The 16080-nt window shown below is 43.8% G+C and overlaps 2 protein-coding genes across 5 annotated transcripts in view, besides 2 other annotated features; one reads left to right on the top strand and one right to left on the bottom strand.

Moving 5' to 3' along the window:
* Positions 1 to 1034: 1034 nt before the first annotated feature.
* On the bottom strand, positions 1035 to 2633 carry RRAGA (Ras related GTP binding A). The gene has a single exon (NM_006570.5). It carries the CDS (start codon positions 2398 to 2400, stop codon positions 1459 to 1461), a length of 942 nt encoding a protein of 313 aa, NP_006561.1. The 5' UTR covers positions 2401 to 2633; the 3' UTR covers positions 1035 to 1458.
* Positions 2172 to 2693: an enhancer, noted in NCBI's record as "H3K27ac hESC enhancer chr9:19049365-19049886 (GRCh37/hg19 assembly coordinates)". NCBI's record gives its function as "activates a minimal SCP1, AML or CMV promoter by ChIP-STARR-seq in primed H9 embryonic stem cells {active_cell/tissue: H9 hESC(primed)}" and the evidence as "EXISTENCE:reporter gene assay evidence [ECO:0000049][PMID:30033119]".
* Positions 2375 to 2564: a silencer, noted in NCBI's record as "silent region_19789". NCBI's record gives its function as "represses an Ori minimal core promoter by ATAC-STARR-seq in GM12878 lymphoblastoid cells {active_cell/tissue: GM12878}" and the evidence as "EXISTENCE:reporter gene assay evidence [ECO:0000049][PMID:35858748]".
* The window catches only part of SAXO1 (stabilizer of axonemal microtubules 1), a 121690-nt gene continuing 108330 nt past the window's right edge, over positions 2721 to 16080 (top strand). For 3 of the 4 annotated variants that reach the window (NM_001287049.2, XM_024447428.2, XM_011517745.3), the window contains exon 1: positions 2721 to 2851. The gene's annotated coding sequence lies outside the window, so the exon portion shown is untranslated. Of the gene's footprint in view, positions 2852 to 3035; positions 3131 to 16080 lie in introns of those variants that run through there. The other variant, XM_017014315.3, reaches the window with a different exon arrangement.

Genomic DNA, 16080 nt, shown 5'->3' with positions numbered 1-16080 from the left:
GCAATTGCACTCAAGCCTGGGCAACAGAGCGAGACTCCGTCTCAAACAAACAAACCAAAAATAAATAAAAAGCTATGACTCTTATGGTTAACTTTTCAATGGAAGTAATGGGGTGTAATGATTAGGAGAGTCAGTAGTCAGATTGCCTGGGTTTAGCTGTATGACCTTAATAAGATCATAGTTTGCTCATCTGCTAAAATAGCGATCAAAGTAACCTACCACATAGGTTGTGAGGATTCAGTAAGATAAATGCACAAGTGCTTAAGAACACCTGACATTTAGTAAGGGATCAAATATTCAAATAGGTTTCATATCCAGTAATTTGGGGAAGAATGGCTCAGTAGGTAGTAATGGTAGTTAACAGAGTATGCTATGCGCTAGGCACCATTCCTAAATACTTACCATGTTGAATTTAATCCTTTTAAACATCCTATCAAGTGGTTTTTTATTGTTGTTTTTGAGATAGGGTCTTGCTTTGTCACCCAAACTGGAGGCCAGTGACACAATTATGCCTCACTGCAGCCTCTACCTCCTGGACTCAAGCAATCCTCTCTCCTCAGCCTCCCAAGCAGCTAGGACTGTAGGCACGCACCACTACGCCTAGCTAATGAAAAAAAATTTTTTTTTGTAGAGAGAGGGTCTCTCTATATTGCCCAGGCTGGTCTCGAACTCCTGATCTCAGGTGATCCTCCCACTTCAGCCTTCCAAAGTGCTGGAATTACAGGTGTGAGCCACCACGACTGGCTATAAAGTAGTATTCTGACCCACATTTTACCAATGAGGAAACAAGTGTAATGAAATTAAGTATTTGCCCATGTTCACAGAGCTAGTAAGTGAAGGGACCAGAATACTAACTCAGGTGGTCTAGCTTCAGTCCATAGCATAAGCGCTTCTACAGCTGTTACCAAACATCACTAAAGTGCTGGGGGCTAAATTCACAGAATCAAATTTGCCAGTCAAGCAATACTTGTGGGCAGTCAGAATTTTTAGATTTGCATATTAAGCACTTTCAAGTTATTTCAAATAAGGACATGTTTTAAATTGCTAACACGTTTATTCATGAATGAAGCCAAGAAGAATTTATAAATGCATTTTAATACCTTGCTGATAAAATAGTAACATTCCGTCTTTGCAATCTGATACGGAATACAGGAAGATACTGGTAAAGGCTTTGATGTGCATATCTATCATAACCAGGTAATGAGAACACACACGAACCACCTACTTTAGTGTTACACCATACCAACTTCTCAGAAAGGTCAGCTTCAAGCTCTACTGGGTAGCTGAGTAAATAGCGTCCAATGTTTAAAGACTGGGGAAGCGGGGAGAAAGATGAAAGGAGTAAGCAGCACACACTTCAAAGCCCACTTTTAAGCACACGACATTATGAATATTAAAAATAAAGGATGCAAACAAAAAAGGCAATTCAGCATTTTCAGAAAGAGCATTTGGCAATATTCAACGCATAAGGAGACTGTGCTTGGGGCCATCCACTCTCTCCAGCTTCTCAAAGTGTTTCCGGGCATTGCGAATGTTGATCAGAGTGGCCGCAGAAGGGATCGACGGATCTGACATGACCACCATCACGTACGTATTTGAGGTGAAGATGTCGATGAAAGCAGCGAAGTTGGAATTCCTAACTTCCATGCTCTGGAAGGAAGCGGCCAATTTACTGCAGCTCAGCTTGAACTGTTTGATGATGTTGCTGATCTTCTCAAACCGGTGGACGTCGCGCTGCTCTTTGCACTGGTAGTGGGAAATAACCAAGAATGTAGCTCTTTCGAACAGCAGAACTTCATCGGCCTCAATGATTTGGGCAAAATTCCTGAGGTTCATCTCCAGCTGCTGAACGTTGGGAATCAGCTGGTAGACGATGCTGGACCAGGCTTTGTAGAGCGTCTCATCCCAGATGGACGTTCGAAAACAAGCACACTCCAGCGGGCGAGACAGACGCCTCAGGTCTTCCTCTCGCTCTTTAAAAATCAGGTCACGCTGATCCTCCTGAACCAGATCCATTTTGTGCACCAGGCAGAAGATTTTGGCGTCAGGAGAGTTCTGGAGGATGGCCTCCAGACACGACTGGTAATAATGCATGTCCTTTTCCAGTTCGCGGCTCTCCACGTCAAACACGTAAATCAAAACTTCCACGTTACGGAAGATATTGTCTCGCTGGCTGGTGAAGTAATTTTCCATGAAGGTGTCCTGACCGCCACAGTCCCACAGGTTCAGCACCAGGTTCCCTAGGAATCGGACGTGGGAGTGTTCCACGTCAATGGTGGCCCCCAGGCGCCGGGTGTCGCGAGCAATGTAATTGGCGAAGATTATCGACCTCATGCTGGTCTTCCCCGACCCGCTCTTCCCCATCAGCAGCACCTTTTTCTTCATGGCTGTATTTGGCATCACCCGCCGGGGCACCGCGGACTGGGCCTGAGGGCGCGGCCTACACGCAGCGCCGAGGGAGGGGTCGGGGGCTGCCGGGGACTCGCAGGCCGCGCCTCGCTCCGCTCCGCCGCGCAGCTGGGCAGGCAGGAGAGTCGAGAGCGCGAACCCGGGGCTGGAGAGGCCGCGGACGGGCTGGCTCTTACTCAGATGGGAGCGCCCGCGGCTGTCAGTGGCAACGGCTCGGGAGATACGCTCGCTTTCCGGGAGGGAGCCGCTGCGTCCCCGCCACCACCCACTTCCGGCGGCGATCTCGCGAGAGCTCCCTCGCTCCGCCCTCCGTGCCCGACGAGCCTTGAAAAGCCGCTGCTCTAATGAAACCTAACCGGGGCGGCGTGAGCCCTAAGATGGAAGGGAAGCTCGAGGACTTCGGTCTTTTGTTCTGTTGCAGCTGGGTTTGCTGTTGCTAGGGGTACGTGTGTGGTTGGCCGGGGGAAATGCTGCCCTCTCGTGGCCAAAAAAAGCCCCAACCGCCACCACCACCGCAACTGGCTTTAGGAGCGAGGTGTGTCGGGCCGGTTTCCGCAGGGGCAGCCGACTGGTGAAGTGGAGGGAAAGCCTAACTTCCCAGTCCGCTTAGGCCTCCCCAGCTTGCCCGGCCCAGTGAGTACAAGGGCAGGGCAGATGGAGACTGTGCAGGCGCGGAAAGTGAGACTTGTAGGCAAGCGATTGCCTGTTGCTGCGCAGCTAGGTAATAGCAAGTCCCTCCTAGGAGACATCCTGGCTTCCAGTGGGTGCTTTTAATTCCTTTCTCACATCTGCTTTTCCGTAATCTCAGACTTTAGAATTTATAATTAGAATTCCAAAGCTCGAGGAAATGATAATGTGGAATCCCAGGCATTAGTTCCATCCTCACAGTAACCCTGTGAATTAATAACCCTATTTTCAAGTTAGGGAATCAAAGGTTAGAGAGGTTAAGTCACTTGACCAAGTTACACAGATACTAAATGATGAAATGGAATTTGGTTTTAGACAATCTTGCTGCGGTCTATTTGCCTAACAATAGGCTACCCTGTGCCCCTCTCAAAGCATAATATGATTCTGCTCTTGGTCTTCAAGTAGATGAGTGAATCAGTGTCGCCAGTATCGTTCATACAGAATGAATGAGAGTCATCAGGATACTGAAGCCTCTGTATCTACCTTAAAGTCCTTTTTTTTTCTTTTGAGACGGAGTCTCACTCTGTTGCCCAGGCTGGAGTGCAGTGGCGCGATCTCAGCTCACTGCAACCTACGCCTCCTGAGTTCAAGCGATTCTCCTGCCTCAGTCCCCCAAATAGCTGGGATTGTGGGCACCTGCCACCACGCCCGGCTAATTTTTGTATTTTTAGTGGAGACGGGGTTTCACTATGTTGGCCAGGCTGGTCTGGAACTCAAGCCAGCCACCTGCCTCGGCCTCCTAAAGTGTGGGATTACAGGCGTGAGCCACCGTGCCTGGCCTAAAGCCCTTATCAAAGTGTATACTGTACTGTACAAATTCAGGTATTCCATTCTTTCATTTATTCAAAAAATATTTTAATTCCTACTGTTAACGTGTGCAGTAAAAGAAGTTCAAAAATGGCCTTTGCTGTAGTTTATGGAAATCATAGAGTGAAATTCCATAATACAATATAGTATGTGGAAAATCTCCTCTCAATGTATTCAGTTTCATCTCCTTGGTGCTACCTCTTCTGGAGCCTTCTTATCTGATCGCCTTTCACCACCATTCTGGGGTTTCCCTTCCCCGTTCTTTCGAGTTGGGTATTCTTTTTCCTGATTTCACATCTTCTCATTTTTGGCTCATTTGGTGGAACACATGTTCCAATAGTTTCCAGATAAAAAGTATGAGGAGAGTAAAAATTTCAAGAGATTGGATGTCTGAAAATTTCTTTGTTTTTACCCTCACACTTGATTGGTTGGACATAATTTTTCCTCAGAGTCTTGGAGGCATTGCTCTGTTGCTCCATCGTCTTTTAGCAGCCAGTAGTCTGATGCCTGCTTCTTGGTTTTGATCTATTCTTTCCTCTCTAAAAACATATTCGAAATTTTCTTATTCTAGTGTTCTGAAACTTAATGATAATTGGCATTGTTGAGCCCAAATTTGCATTGTACTGGACTCTCCAATGTGTCTTTTAATTTGGAAACCATGCCCTTGAATTCTAAACAATGTTCTTGAATTGTTTGATGATGTATTTCCTCTATTCTGTCATGTGAATACTCCTAAGGTCTGGATATCACATTTTACGGAGTCTCCTCTAATGTATTTTTTTTCTTTTTTTTGGAGACAGAGTCTCACTCTGTTGCCCATGCTAGAGTGTAGTTGCACGATCTTGGCTCACTGCAACCTCCACCTCCTGGGTTCAAGAGATTCTCTTGCTTCAGCCTCCCAAGTAGCTGGGACTACAGGCCTCCACCACCATGCCTGGCTAAGTTTTATTTTTGTTTTTGTTTTTGTTTTGAGATGGAGTCTTGCTCAGCAGCCTAGGCCGGAGTGCAGTGGCACTATCTCGGCTTACTGCAACCTCCGCCTCCCAGATTCAAGCCATTCTCCCGGCTCAGCCTCCCGAGTAGCTGGTATTACAGATGCCTGCCACCATACCTGGCTAATTTTTGTATTTTTAGTAGAGAGGGGGTTTCACCATGTTGGCCAGGCTGGTCTCAAACTGCTGGTCTTAAGTGATCTGCCCGCCTCAGCTTCCCAAAGTGCTGGGGTTACAGGCATGCGCCACTGCGCCTGGCCTTCTTTTCTTTTTAAAAAAATTTTTTAAATTTATTTTTAGAGACAGGATCTTTCTCTGTCAACCAGGCTGGAGTGCAGTGGTGAGATCATAGCTCACTGCAGCCACCACCTCCTCGGCTCAAGGGATCCTCACATGCCAGCCTCCCAAGTAGCTAGGATTATAGGTGTGTGCCACTATGCTTAATTTTTTTTTTTTTTTTCTGAGACGAAGTTTTGCTCTTGTTGCCCAGGCTGGAGTGCAATGGCATGATCTCAGCTCACCACAACCTCTGCCTGCCGGGTTCAAGCGATCCTTCTGCCTCAGCCTCCCAAGTAGCTGGGATTGCAGGCATGTGCCACCTTGTCTGGCTAATTTTGTATTTTTAGTAGAGATGGGGTTTCTCCTTTCTCCATGTTGGTCAGGCTGGTCTCGAACTGCCGACCTCAGGTGATCTGCCCGCCTCGGCCTCCCAAAGTGCTGGGATTACAGGCGTGAGCCACCGCACCTGGCCTGCCTAATTTTTAAATATTTTTTTGGTAACCCTTTCTTATTTTCTATTTCTGTCTTTTTGTTCTACTTTCCAGGAGATTTTTCTCATCCTAATTTTCCAACTCTTTGGAGTTTTAAATTTTAATATCATATTTTTAATTTCCACAGGCTGTTCTAATTGTTCTTTTTAAAAACATAAAATTATTTTCTTGGATTAAATATATTCTTTTATCTCTCTGAGGATAATAGTAACATTAAGAAAAAGTTTTTATCCCGTTTAGTCTTGGTTTCTTCCAAGTTTCTTTTGTTTGTATGTTCTCCTTATGTTCTCCTTTTTTTTTTTTTTTTTTTTTGAGACGGAGTTTCATTCTTGTTGCCCAGGCGCAACGGCGCAATCTCTGCTCACCGCAACCTCCGCCTCCCAGGTTCAAGTGATTCTCCTGCCTCAGCCTTCTCCAGCAGCTGGGATTACAGGCATGCGCCCCCAGGCCCGGCTACTTTTGTATTTTTAGTAGATACGGGGTTTCTCCATGTTGGTGAGCCACCGCGCCCGGCAGTAAAAGAAGTTCAAAAATGGCCTTTGCTGTAGTTTATGGAAATCATAGAGCATATTCATGTTAGAAACTTTCCTTATTTGTTCAGTGATCATTGGTTGTCTGCTCCTATTTAAAGTTATTTAAAAACCCGTGGGTAGCATTGAAGACTATCAGGTTCATTAAAATGACTGGGCCATTTCTTTGAAGAAAGTCTTGCCGCCTGCCTCATTTAGACCTGTGCTCTTTGGCTGGTTAGATTCTCCCAGGATTCTTCTACTGGGATGGGGTGTGTATAAGCCTGATTAATAGCATTCTGGTTACTAAGTGGGAGAAGAAAGCTAGGTTGCTAATATTCAGTTTATAGGCCAGCTTAATCCTGTTTACAATATGGTACTTCAGTCCTCTGTGTCTCTGGTGTTTCCCTAGTCCAGAGACCCCCTGTTTTACTCTTTGCATCTTTGCAGGGAATAAAAACTGCTAGTCTTAGATGAGAGACGGACAATTGCCCAGCTATGTGAAATTGTGAGGGGATCTGTAAGTCTAATTGCATCTTTTTTTTTTTTTTTTTTTTTTTTTTTTTTTTGAGACGGAGTCTCGCTCTGTCGCCCAGGCCGGACTGCGGACTGCAGTGGCGCAATCTCGGCTCACTGCAAGCTCCGCTTCCCAGGTTCACGCCATTCTCCTGCCTCAGCCTCCCGAGTAGCTGGGACTACAGGCGCCCGCCACCGCGCCCGGCTAATTTTTTGTATTTTTAGTAGAGACGGGGTTTCACCTTGTTAGCCAGGATGGTCTCGATCTCCTGACCTCATGATCCACCCGCCTCGGCCTCCCAAAGTGCTGGGATTACAGGCGTGAGCCACCGCGCCCGGCCGTCTAATTGCATCTTAAAGAGCTCTTCAAACAATCCCTCCTTTTTAGTGCAGTCTCTGCTCTCACTGATGCTACCGATTCTTGAACCATTTGGAGGTTCTGTGGTAAAAATGTTGCTCCTTGGCTTTCCCTACTACTGGCTAAGGATTCAGCTTTCGTTTTTTTTTGAAACGGAGTCTCGCACTCTCACCCGGGCTGGAGTGCAGTGGCGCCATCTCGGCTCACTGCAAGCTCCGCCTCCCGGGTTCACGCCATTCTCCTGCCTCAGCCTCCCAAGTAGCTGGGACTACAGGCGCCCGCCACCACACCCAGCTAATTTTTTTGTATTTTTAGTAGAGACGGGGTTTCACCGTGTTAGCCAGGATGGTCTCGATCTTCTGACCTTGTGATCTGCCGCCTCAGCCTCCCAAAGTACTGGGATTACAGGCGTGAGCTACCGCGCCCGCCGGATTCAGCTTTCTTGAGTCAGCTAAGTCACTTACCATTCTTGTTTGTGCATTCCCGCTTCCAAAAATTTTGATTTTATGATCTCTTACCCCATTTTTTGTTCTTGCCATCTCATCCTATTTGTCTCATGTTTGTGGGATTCTGGAGAAAGATAAATGCGTGTGTTCAATCTGCCAGCTTTCTTGGAAATAGGAGAGATCTTAATCTAAAATGCTCAAATGGAATAATGATAATTTGATAGTAAGTAATACCCAAAGAGAATTGAAAAGTTTTTTTTGTTTTTAATTTTTGTGGGTACATAGTAGGTGTATATATTTATGAGGTACATGAGATACTTTGATACAGGCATGCAAGGCATAATAATCACATCATGGTAAATGGGGTATGCATCCCCTCAAGCATTTATCCTTTGTGTTGCAAACAATCCAATTGTTTTTTTTTTTTAAGACAGAGTCTCACTCCATTGCCCAGGCTGGAGTGCAGTGGCATGACACACTGCAGCCTCTACCTCCTGGGTTCAAGTGATTCTCCTGCCTCAGCCTCCCAAGTAGCTGGTATTACAGGCACCTGCCACAAAACCTGGCTAATTTTTGTATTTTTAGTAGAGACAGGGTTTCACCATGTTGGCCAGACTGGTCTCGAACTCCCGATCTCAGGTGATCCGCCTGCCTCAGCCTCCCAAAGTGCTGGGATTATAGGCGTGAGTCACTGTGCCAGGCTCAATTATACTCTTTTAGTTATTTTTGAATGTACAATGAAATTATTGACTATAATTATCCTGTTGTGCTATCAAATACTAGGTCTTTTTTTTTTTCGAGACAGGGTCTTACTCTGTGGCCCAAGCTGGAGTGCAGTGTTGTGATCACTGCTCACCGCAGCTTCCACCTCCTGGGCTCAAGCAATCCTCCCACATCAGTGCCCCCGAGTAGCTGGGACTACAGTTACGCACTACCATGCCTGGCTAATTTTTGTATTTTTTGTAGAGACAGGATCCCACTATGTTGCCCAGATTGCTCTTGAATTCCCGGGCTCAAGTGATCTGCCCGCCTTGGCCTCCCAAAGTGCTCCAATTACAGGTGTGAGCCACCATGCCTGGCCCCTACTAGGTCTTACTCCTTCTTTCTAACTACTTTTTGTACCTATTAACCATCTCCACCTCCCGCTTAACCCCCCTGTTATCCTTCCCAGCCTCTGGTAACCATTCTTCTGCTCTCTGTGTCTGTGAGTTCAATTGTTTTAATTTTCAGCTCCCACAAATAAGTGAGAACATGCAGAGTTTGTCTTTCTGTGCCTGGCTTATTTCACTTAACATAATGATCTCCAGTTCCATCCATGTTGTTGCAAATGACAGGATCTCATTCTTTTTTTTTGTGGCTGAATAGTGTATATGTACCACATTTTCTTTTTTGGGGGGACAGGGTTTTGCTCTGTTGCTCAGGCTGGAGTGTAGTGGTGCAGTCTTGGTTCACTGCAACCTCTGCCTCTCAGGCTCAAGTGATCCTCCCACCTCAGCCTCCTGAGTAGCTGGGACTACAGGTGTGTACCACCATGCCTGACTAATTTTTGTATTTTTTGTAGAGACAGGGTTTTGCTATATTTCCCAGCGTGGTCTCAAACTCCCGGGCTCAAGTGATCCTCCCGCCTTGGCCTCACAAAGTGCGGGTATTATAGGCATCAACCACTGCACCTGGCCACATTTTCTTTCTTTCTTTCTCTTTATGAGGCAGAGTTTTGCTCTTGTTGCCCAGTCTGGAGTACAGTGGTGTAATCTCAGCTCAACACAACCTCCGCCTCCCCGGTTCAAGCGATTCTCCTGCCTCAGCCTCCCGAGTAGCGGGGATTACAGGCATGCACCACCATGCCTGGCTAATTTTGTATTCTTAGTAGGGACGGGGTTTCTCCATGTTGGTCGGGCTGGTTTTGAATTCCCAACCTCTGGTGATCCGCCTGCCTTGGCCTCCCAAAGTGCTGGGATTACAGGTGTGAGCCACTGCACCTGGCCCACATTTTCTATATCTATTTATCTGTTAATAGACACTTAGATTGCTTCCAAATCTTGGCTATTGTGAACAGTGCTGCAACAAACATAGGAGTGCAGCTATCTCTTTGATATACTGATTCCCTTTCTTTTGGGTATATACCCAGCAGTGGGATTGCTGAATCGTATGATAGTACCATTTTTAGCTTTTTAAGGAACTTCTAAACTGTTCCCCATAGTGGTTGTAATAATTTACATTTCCACCAACAGTGTACAGCGGTTCCCTTTTCCCCACATCCTTGCCAGCATTTGTTATTGCCCATCATTTGGATAAAAGCCATTTTAACTGGGGTGACATGATATCTCATTGTCATTTTGATTTGCATTTCTCTGATGATCCATGATTTTGAGCACTTTTTTATATGCCTGTTTGCCATTTGTATGTTGTCTTTTGAGAAATGTCTATTCAGATCTTTTGCCCATTAAAAAATTAGATTATTAGATTTTTTTCCCATAGAGTTGTTTGAGCTCCTTATATATTCTGATTAATTTTTTATCAGATGGGTAGTTTGCAAATATTATCTCCCATTCGGTGGGTTGTCTCTTTGATTTGTTGATTGTTTCTATTGCTGTGTAGAAGCTTTTTAACTTGATATGATCCCATGTGTCCATTTTTGCTTTGGTTGCCTGTGCTTGTGGGGTATTACTCAAGAAGTTTTTGTCCAGACCAATGTTCTGGAGAGTTTTCCAATGTTTTCTTGTAATAGTTTCATGGTTTGAGGTCTTAGATTTAAGTCTTCAATCCATTTTGACTTTATTTTTGTATATGGCAAGAGATAGGGGTCTAGTTTCCTTCTTCTGCATATGGATATTCAGTTTTTCCAGCACTATTTATTGAAGAGACTGTTTTTACCCCATGCATGTTCTTGGCACCTGTGTTGAAATGAGTTAACTTTTGATGTATAGATTTGTTTCTGCTTTTTCTTTTCTGTTCTATTGGTCTATGTGTCTGTTTTTATGCTAGTACCATGCTGTTTTGGTTACCATAACTCTGTAGTATAACTGGAGGTCAGGTAATGTGATTCCTCCAATTTTGTTCTTTTTGCTCAGGATAGCTTTGGCTATTCTCAATCTTTTGTGGTTCCATATACATTTTAGGATTGTTTTTTCTATTTCTGCGCAGAATGTTATTGGTACTTTCATAAGGATTTCATTAAATCTGTAGATTGCTTTGGGTAGCATGAACATTTTAACAAAATTGATTTTTCCAATCCATGTACATGGAATATTTTTCCACTTTTTTGTGTCCTCTTCTGTTTCTTTCATCAGTGTTTTATAGTTTTCATTGTAGAGCTCTTTCACTTCCATGGTTAACTAAATTCTTAGGTATTTAATTTTATTTGTGTCTATTGTAAATGGGATTACTTTTTTTTTTTTTTTTTTCAGATTGTTCACTGTTGGCAGGTAGAAGTGCTCCTGATTTTCGTATGTTGGTTTTGTATCCTGCAATGTTACTGTATTTGTTGATCAATTCTAATAGTTTTTTGGTGGAGCCTTTAGGTTTTTCCAAATATAAGAACATATCATCTGCAAACAACGATAATTTGACTTTTTTTTTTTCCAATTTGGATGCCCTTTATTCTGAAAGGGAATTTTTGCAAGATTTTTTTAATGCTTTATTGAGGTATAATTTTAATTCTATAAAATTCATTTATTGTACGTAAGTATATAGTTCTGTTACCACCACTCAATTTTAGAGTATTTCCACCATCCCCAAAAGTTCCCTTCTCCCTGTTTGTATTTGATCTCTGCTTCTACCCTGAGACCCAGGCAACTGCTGGTCTGCTTTCTGTCTGTATAGGTTTACCTTCTTGAGAAACTTCATATAAGTGGAATTGTATAATATATAGTTTTATGTCCTCTTTCTTTCTCTCTCTCTCTTTTTTTTTCTTCTTTTTTTGGAGAAAGAATCTCACTCTGTTGCCCAGGCTGGAATGCAGTGGCGCCATCTTGGCTCACTGCAACCTCTGCTTCCTGGGTTCAAGTGATTCTCATGCCTCAGCCTCCCAGGTAGCTAGGATTACAGGTGCGTGCCACTATGCTTGGCTAATTTTTTGTATTTTTAGTAGAGGCGGGGTTTTGTAATGTCAGCCGGGCTGGTCTCGAACTCCTGGCCTCAAGTGATCCATGTGCCTCAGCCTCCCAGAGACACTGTGCTCAGCCCTTTTTCTTTTTAAAAACATTTTCTAACATCTTTAATCAAATTTCACCCATGCTAAATGAGTCGTATTAGGTGCTTGACTTTCCCAAATGCTCATGTGTCAGGAGGGTATCAGTATTTGAAATCCTAAACCATTCATTTGCTGTTTCTTAACAAAAATTTTTGAAAAGCATGTAAACTCTACCCTTATCCTTTGGATTACAATGGTTAAGTACAAAAGCAATTCATTTAGCATCTTATAAATCATTCAAATTATAAATAAAAGCACCTACAGTTTTTTTAAATAAAAGATTCACAGTGCACCGTGCCTTGGAACATATAAGGTTGGAACATAACATTTAAAAAGTGAATTCCAGGCCATGTACAGTGGCTCACACCTGTAATCCCAGCACTTTGAGAGGCCGAGGCGGGCAGATCACCTGAGGTGAGGAGTTCAGAACCAGCCTGGCCAACATGGTGAAACCCTGTCTCTACTAAAAATACAAAAATTAGCTGGGTGTGGTGGCAGGCGCCTGTAATCCCACCTACTGGGGAGGCTGAGGCAGGAGAATTGCTTGAACCTGGGAGGCGGAGGTTGCAGTGAGCTGAGATGGCCCCATCACACTCCAGCCTGGGGGACAAGAACGAGACTTCATCTCAAAAAAAAGCAAATTCCAAGACCTGCATCTCTTTCAAAGACATAAAACATAATGAAGCCAACCGACTACTTGTTTCATCTAGGTTCTTAAAATGCAGCACTTGGTAGAAGTAAATTATTGCATATTCAGCATACTCCTTTATCACTTGATTTCTTCAAACCATACTAAAATTTCTCAAATGAGAAATCAGTTCTCTAAGCATGGCCTTTCTCAAGGTAACCTGAACACTGAGAAACTATTAAGGACTAAACTTTGAGGGACGAAGTACAGTAGATGTACATAAAACAGGTACATCCAACTTAAATATTTTCTGCATAGCTAAATCACATCATACACATAAACTTTAACTCCCATCTTTTAACATTTTTTTAACCTCAAACTTTGAGAGCTAAAAGCCTAGAGTTATAATCACATCCCAACAATACCGTTATTTTGTTCCACAGCGCATTAAATAAAGCAGCGCAACAGCAATAACGTTTAACCACAGTTGGTTTTTCAATATTAAAACCACCTTGTATTCTTGGGATAAATCCCTCTTGGTCATGGTGTTTAATCCTTTTTATATGTTGCTGGTTTCAGTTTGCTAATATTTTCTTTTTTTTTTTTCTTTTGAGGCAGGGTCTTGCTCTGTTGCCCAGGCTGGAGTGCAGTGGTGTGATCTCACCACTTTAAACAATGTTCTGTAAAGAGTTGCTTTTCAGATGGTATACAGCAATAAGTTTGGGGTTGGGTGAGTTATAAGGCCACAGAATAAAAATTGTGCAGCACCACTGAGTATTAATTTTACAAAAAATTTTAGGGAAAACATTAAACAAAGATGTCCATATTAAGAAGTAAATGAAAATTTTAAGATAAAATACTGTTTATAGTGGTTTCAAAGATATTCAAGTTACCATTTTTTTTTTAATTTTTTTAAAGGCTTTGCCTCACCCTGCTCCCTCACAAGGGCTGGCTGCACATACACAGCCATTTATTCTTTTTTTTTTATTATTATACTTTAAGTTTTAGGGTACATGTGCACAATGTGCAGGTTAGTTACATATGTATACATGTGCCATGCTGGTGTACTGCACCCATTAACTCGTCATTTAGCATTAGGTATATCCCTCATGCTATCCCTCCCCCCTCCCCCCACCCCACAACAGTCCCCAGAGTGTGATGTTCCCCTTCCTGTGTCCATGTGTTCTCATTGTTCAATTCCCATCTATGAGTGAGAACATGCGGTGTTTGGTTTTTTGTCCTTGCAATAGTTTACTGAGAATGATGATTTCCAATTTCATCCATGTCCCTACAAAGGACATGAGCTCATCATTTTTTATGGCTGCATAGTATTCCATGGTGTATATGTGCCACATTTTCTTAATCCAGTCTATCATTGTTGGACATTTGGGTTGGTTCCAAGTCTTTGGTATTGTGAATAGTGCTGCAATAAACATACATGTGCATGTGTCTTTATAGCAGCATGATTTATAGTCCTTTGGGTATATACCCAGTAATGGGATGGCTGGGTCAAATGGTATTTCTAGTTCTAGATCCCTGAGGAATCGCCACACTGCCTTCCACAATGGTTGAACTAGTTTACAGTCCCACCAACAGTGTAAAAGTGTCCCTGTTTCTCCACATCCTCTCCGGCACCTGTTGTTTCCTGACTTTTTAATGATTGCCATTCTAACTGGTGTGAGATGGTATCTCATTGTGGTTTTGATTTGCATTTCTCTGATGACCAGTGATGATGAGCATTTTTTCATGATACACAGCCATTTATTCTTATTCTTTGTCCTTTCATTGGGTGGAAAAGCTTGAGACCATCTGAATCTGAATCCCAGATCTAGTACTCATTGAATGAGTTTACCTCCTGGCTTCAGTGTTCTGATTTGTAATATGGGCATGATAGATTTATGTCAGTTGTAAGAGACAGATGAGAGAGCTTATAGAAAAGTACCCAGAAAGGTTTGATGTAACTTGATAGCAAGTTACAGTAAACAGTTCCTAGGGGAGGAAATTTTGATACCAGGGTTAGGGAAGTTTAGATGGTGTATTAGTCAATTTTCATACTGCTGATAAAGGCATACCTGAGACTTGGAAGGAAAAGAGGTTTAATTGGACTTACAGTTCCACATGGCTGGGGAGGCCTCAGAATCATGGCGGGAGGTGAAAGGCACTTCTTACATGGCAGCAGCAAGAGAAAAAAATGAGGAGGATGCAAAAGCGGAAACCCCTGATAAATCCATCAGAACTTGTGAGACTTACTACCATGAGAACAGTATGGGGTAATCTGCTGTCATGATTCAAATTATCTCCCACTGGGTCCCTCCCACAACATGTGGGAATTATGGGAGTACAATTTAAGATGAGATATGGGTGGGGACACAGAGCCAAACCATATAGTTTCACCCCTGGTCCCTCCAAATCTCATGTCCTCACATTTCACAAAAAACATGCCTTCCCAACAGTCCCTCCAAAGTCTTAAGTCATTTCGGCATTAACCCGAAAGTCCACAGTCCAAAATTTCATCTGAGACAAGGCAAGTCCCTTCCACCTATGAACCTGTAAAATCAAAAGCAAGCTAGTTACTTCCTAGATAAAATGCGGATATAGGTACTGGGTAAATACAGCCATTCCAAATGGGAGAAATTGGGCAAAACAAAGGGGTTACAGTCCCCATGCAAGTCTGAAATCCAGCAGGGTAGTCAAATCTTAAAGCTCCAAAATGATCTCCTTTGACTCCATGTCTCACATCCAGGTCACGCTGAAGCAAGAGGTGAATTCCCATGGTCTTGGACAGCTCCTCCCCTGTGGCTTTCCAGGGTACCGCCTCCCTTCTGGATGTTTTCATGGGCTGGCAATGAGTGTCTGTGGCTTTACCAGGCACACAGTGCAATTTGTCGGTGGATCTCCCATTTTGGGGTCTGGAGGATGCTGGCCCTCTTCTCACAGCTCCACTAGGTGGTGCCCCAGTAGGGACATTTCCCTTTCACATTGCCCTAGCAGAGGTTCTCCATGAGAGTTCCAACCCTGCAGCAAACTTCTGCTTGGACATCCAGGCATTTCCATATATCCTCTGAAATCTAGGCGGAGATTCCCAAACCTCAATTCTTGACTTCTGTGCACTCACAGGCTTAACACCATGCGGAAGCTGCCAAGGCTTGGGGCTTGCATCCTCTGAAGCCATGGCCCAAGCTCTATGTTGGCCCCTTTCAGCCATGGCTGGAGCAGCTGGGATGCAGGGCACCAAGTCCCTAGGCTGGACACAGCATGGGGACCCTGGTCCCGGCCCATGAAACCATTTTCTCCTAGGCCTGCGGGCCTGTGATGGGAGGGGCTGCTGTGAAGATTTCTGACATGCCCAGGAGACATTTTCCCCATTGTCTTGGGGATTAACATTTGGCTACTTGTCACTTATGCAAATTTCTGCAGCCAGCTTGAATTTCTCCTCAGAAAACAGGTTTTTCTTTTCTTTTTTCTTTCTTTCTTTCTTTTTTTTTTTTTTTATTATACTTTAAGTTCTGGGGTACATGTGCAGAACGTGCAGGTTTGTTACATGGGTATACATGTGCCATGGTCGTTTGCTGCACCCATCAACCCATCATCTACATTAGGTATTTCTCCTAATGCTCTCCCTCCCCCAGCCCCCTACCCCCCGCCAGGCCCCAGTGTGTGATGTTCCCCTCCCTGTGTCCATGTGTTCTCATTGTTCAGCTCCCACTTATGAGTGAGAACATGTGGTGTTTGGTTTTCTGTTCTTGTGTTAGTTTGCTGAGAAGGT

Source organism: Homo sapiens, chromosome 9, assembly GCF_000001405.40.
Source record: "Homo sapiens chromosome 9, GRCh38.p14 Primary Assembly".
Taxonomy (NCBI): domain Eukaryota; kingdom Metazoa; phylum Chordata; class Mammalia; order Primates; family Hominidae; genus Homo; species Homo sapiens.
This window is presented reverse-complemented; position numbering and strand designations above follow the sequence as displayed.

What these genes read in the sequence shown, in the direction of transcription:
- RRAGA (NM_006570.5), bottom strand. Translation starts at nt 2,400, where the DNA reads ATGCCAAATACAGCCATGAAGAAAAAGGTGCTGCTGATGGGGAAGAGC.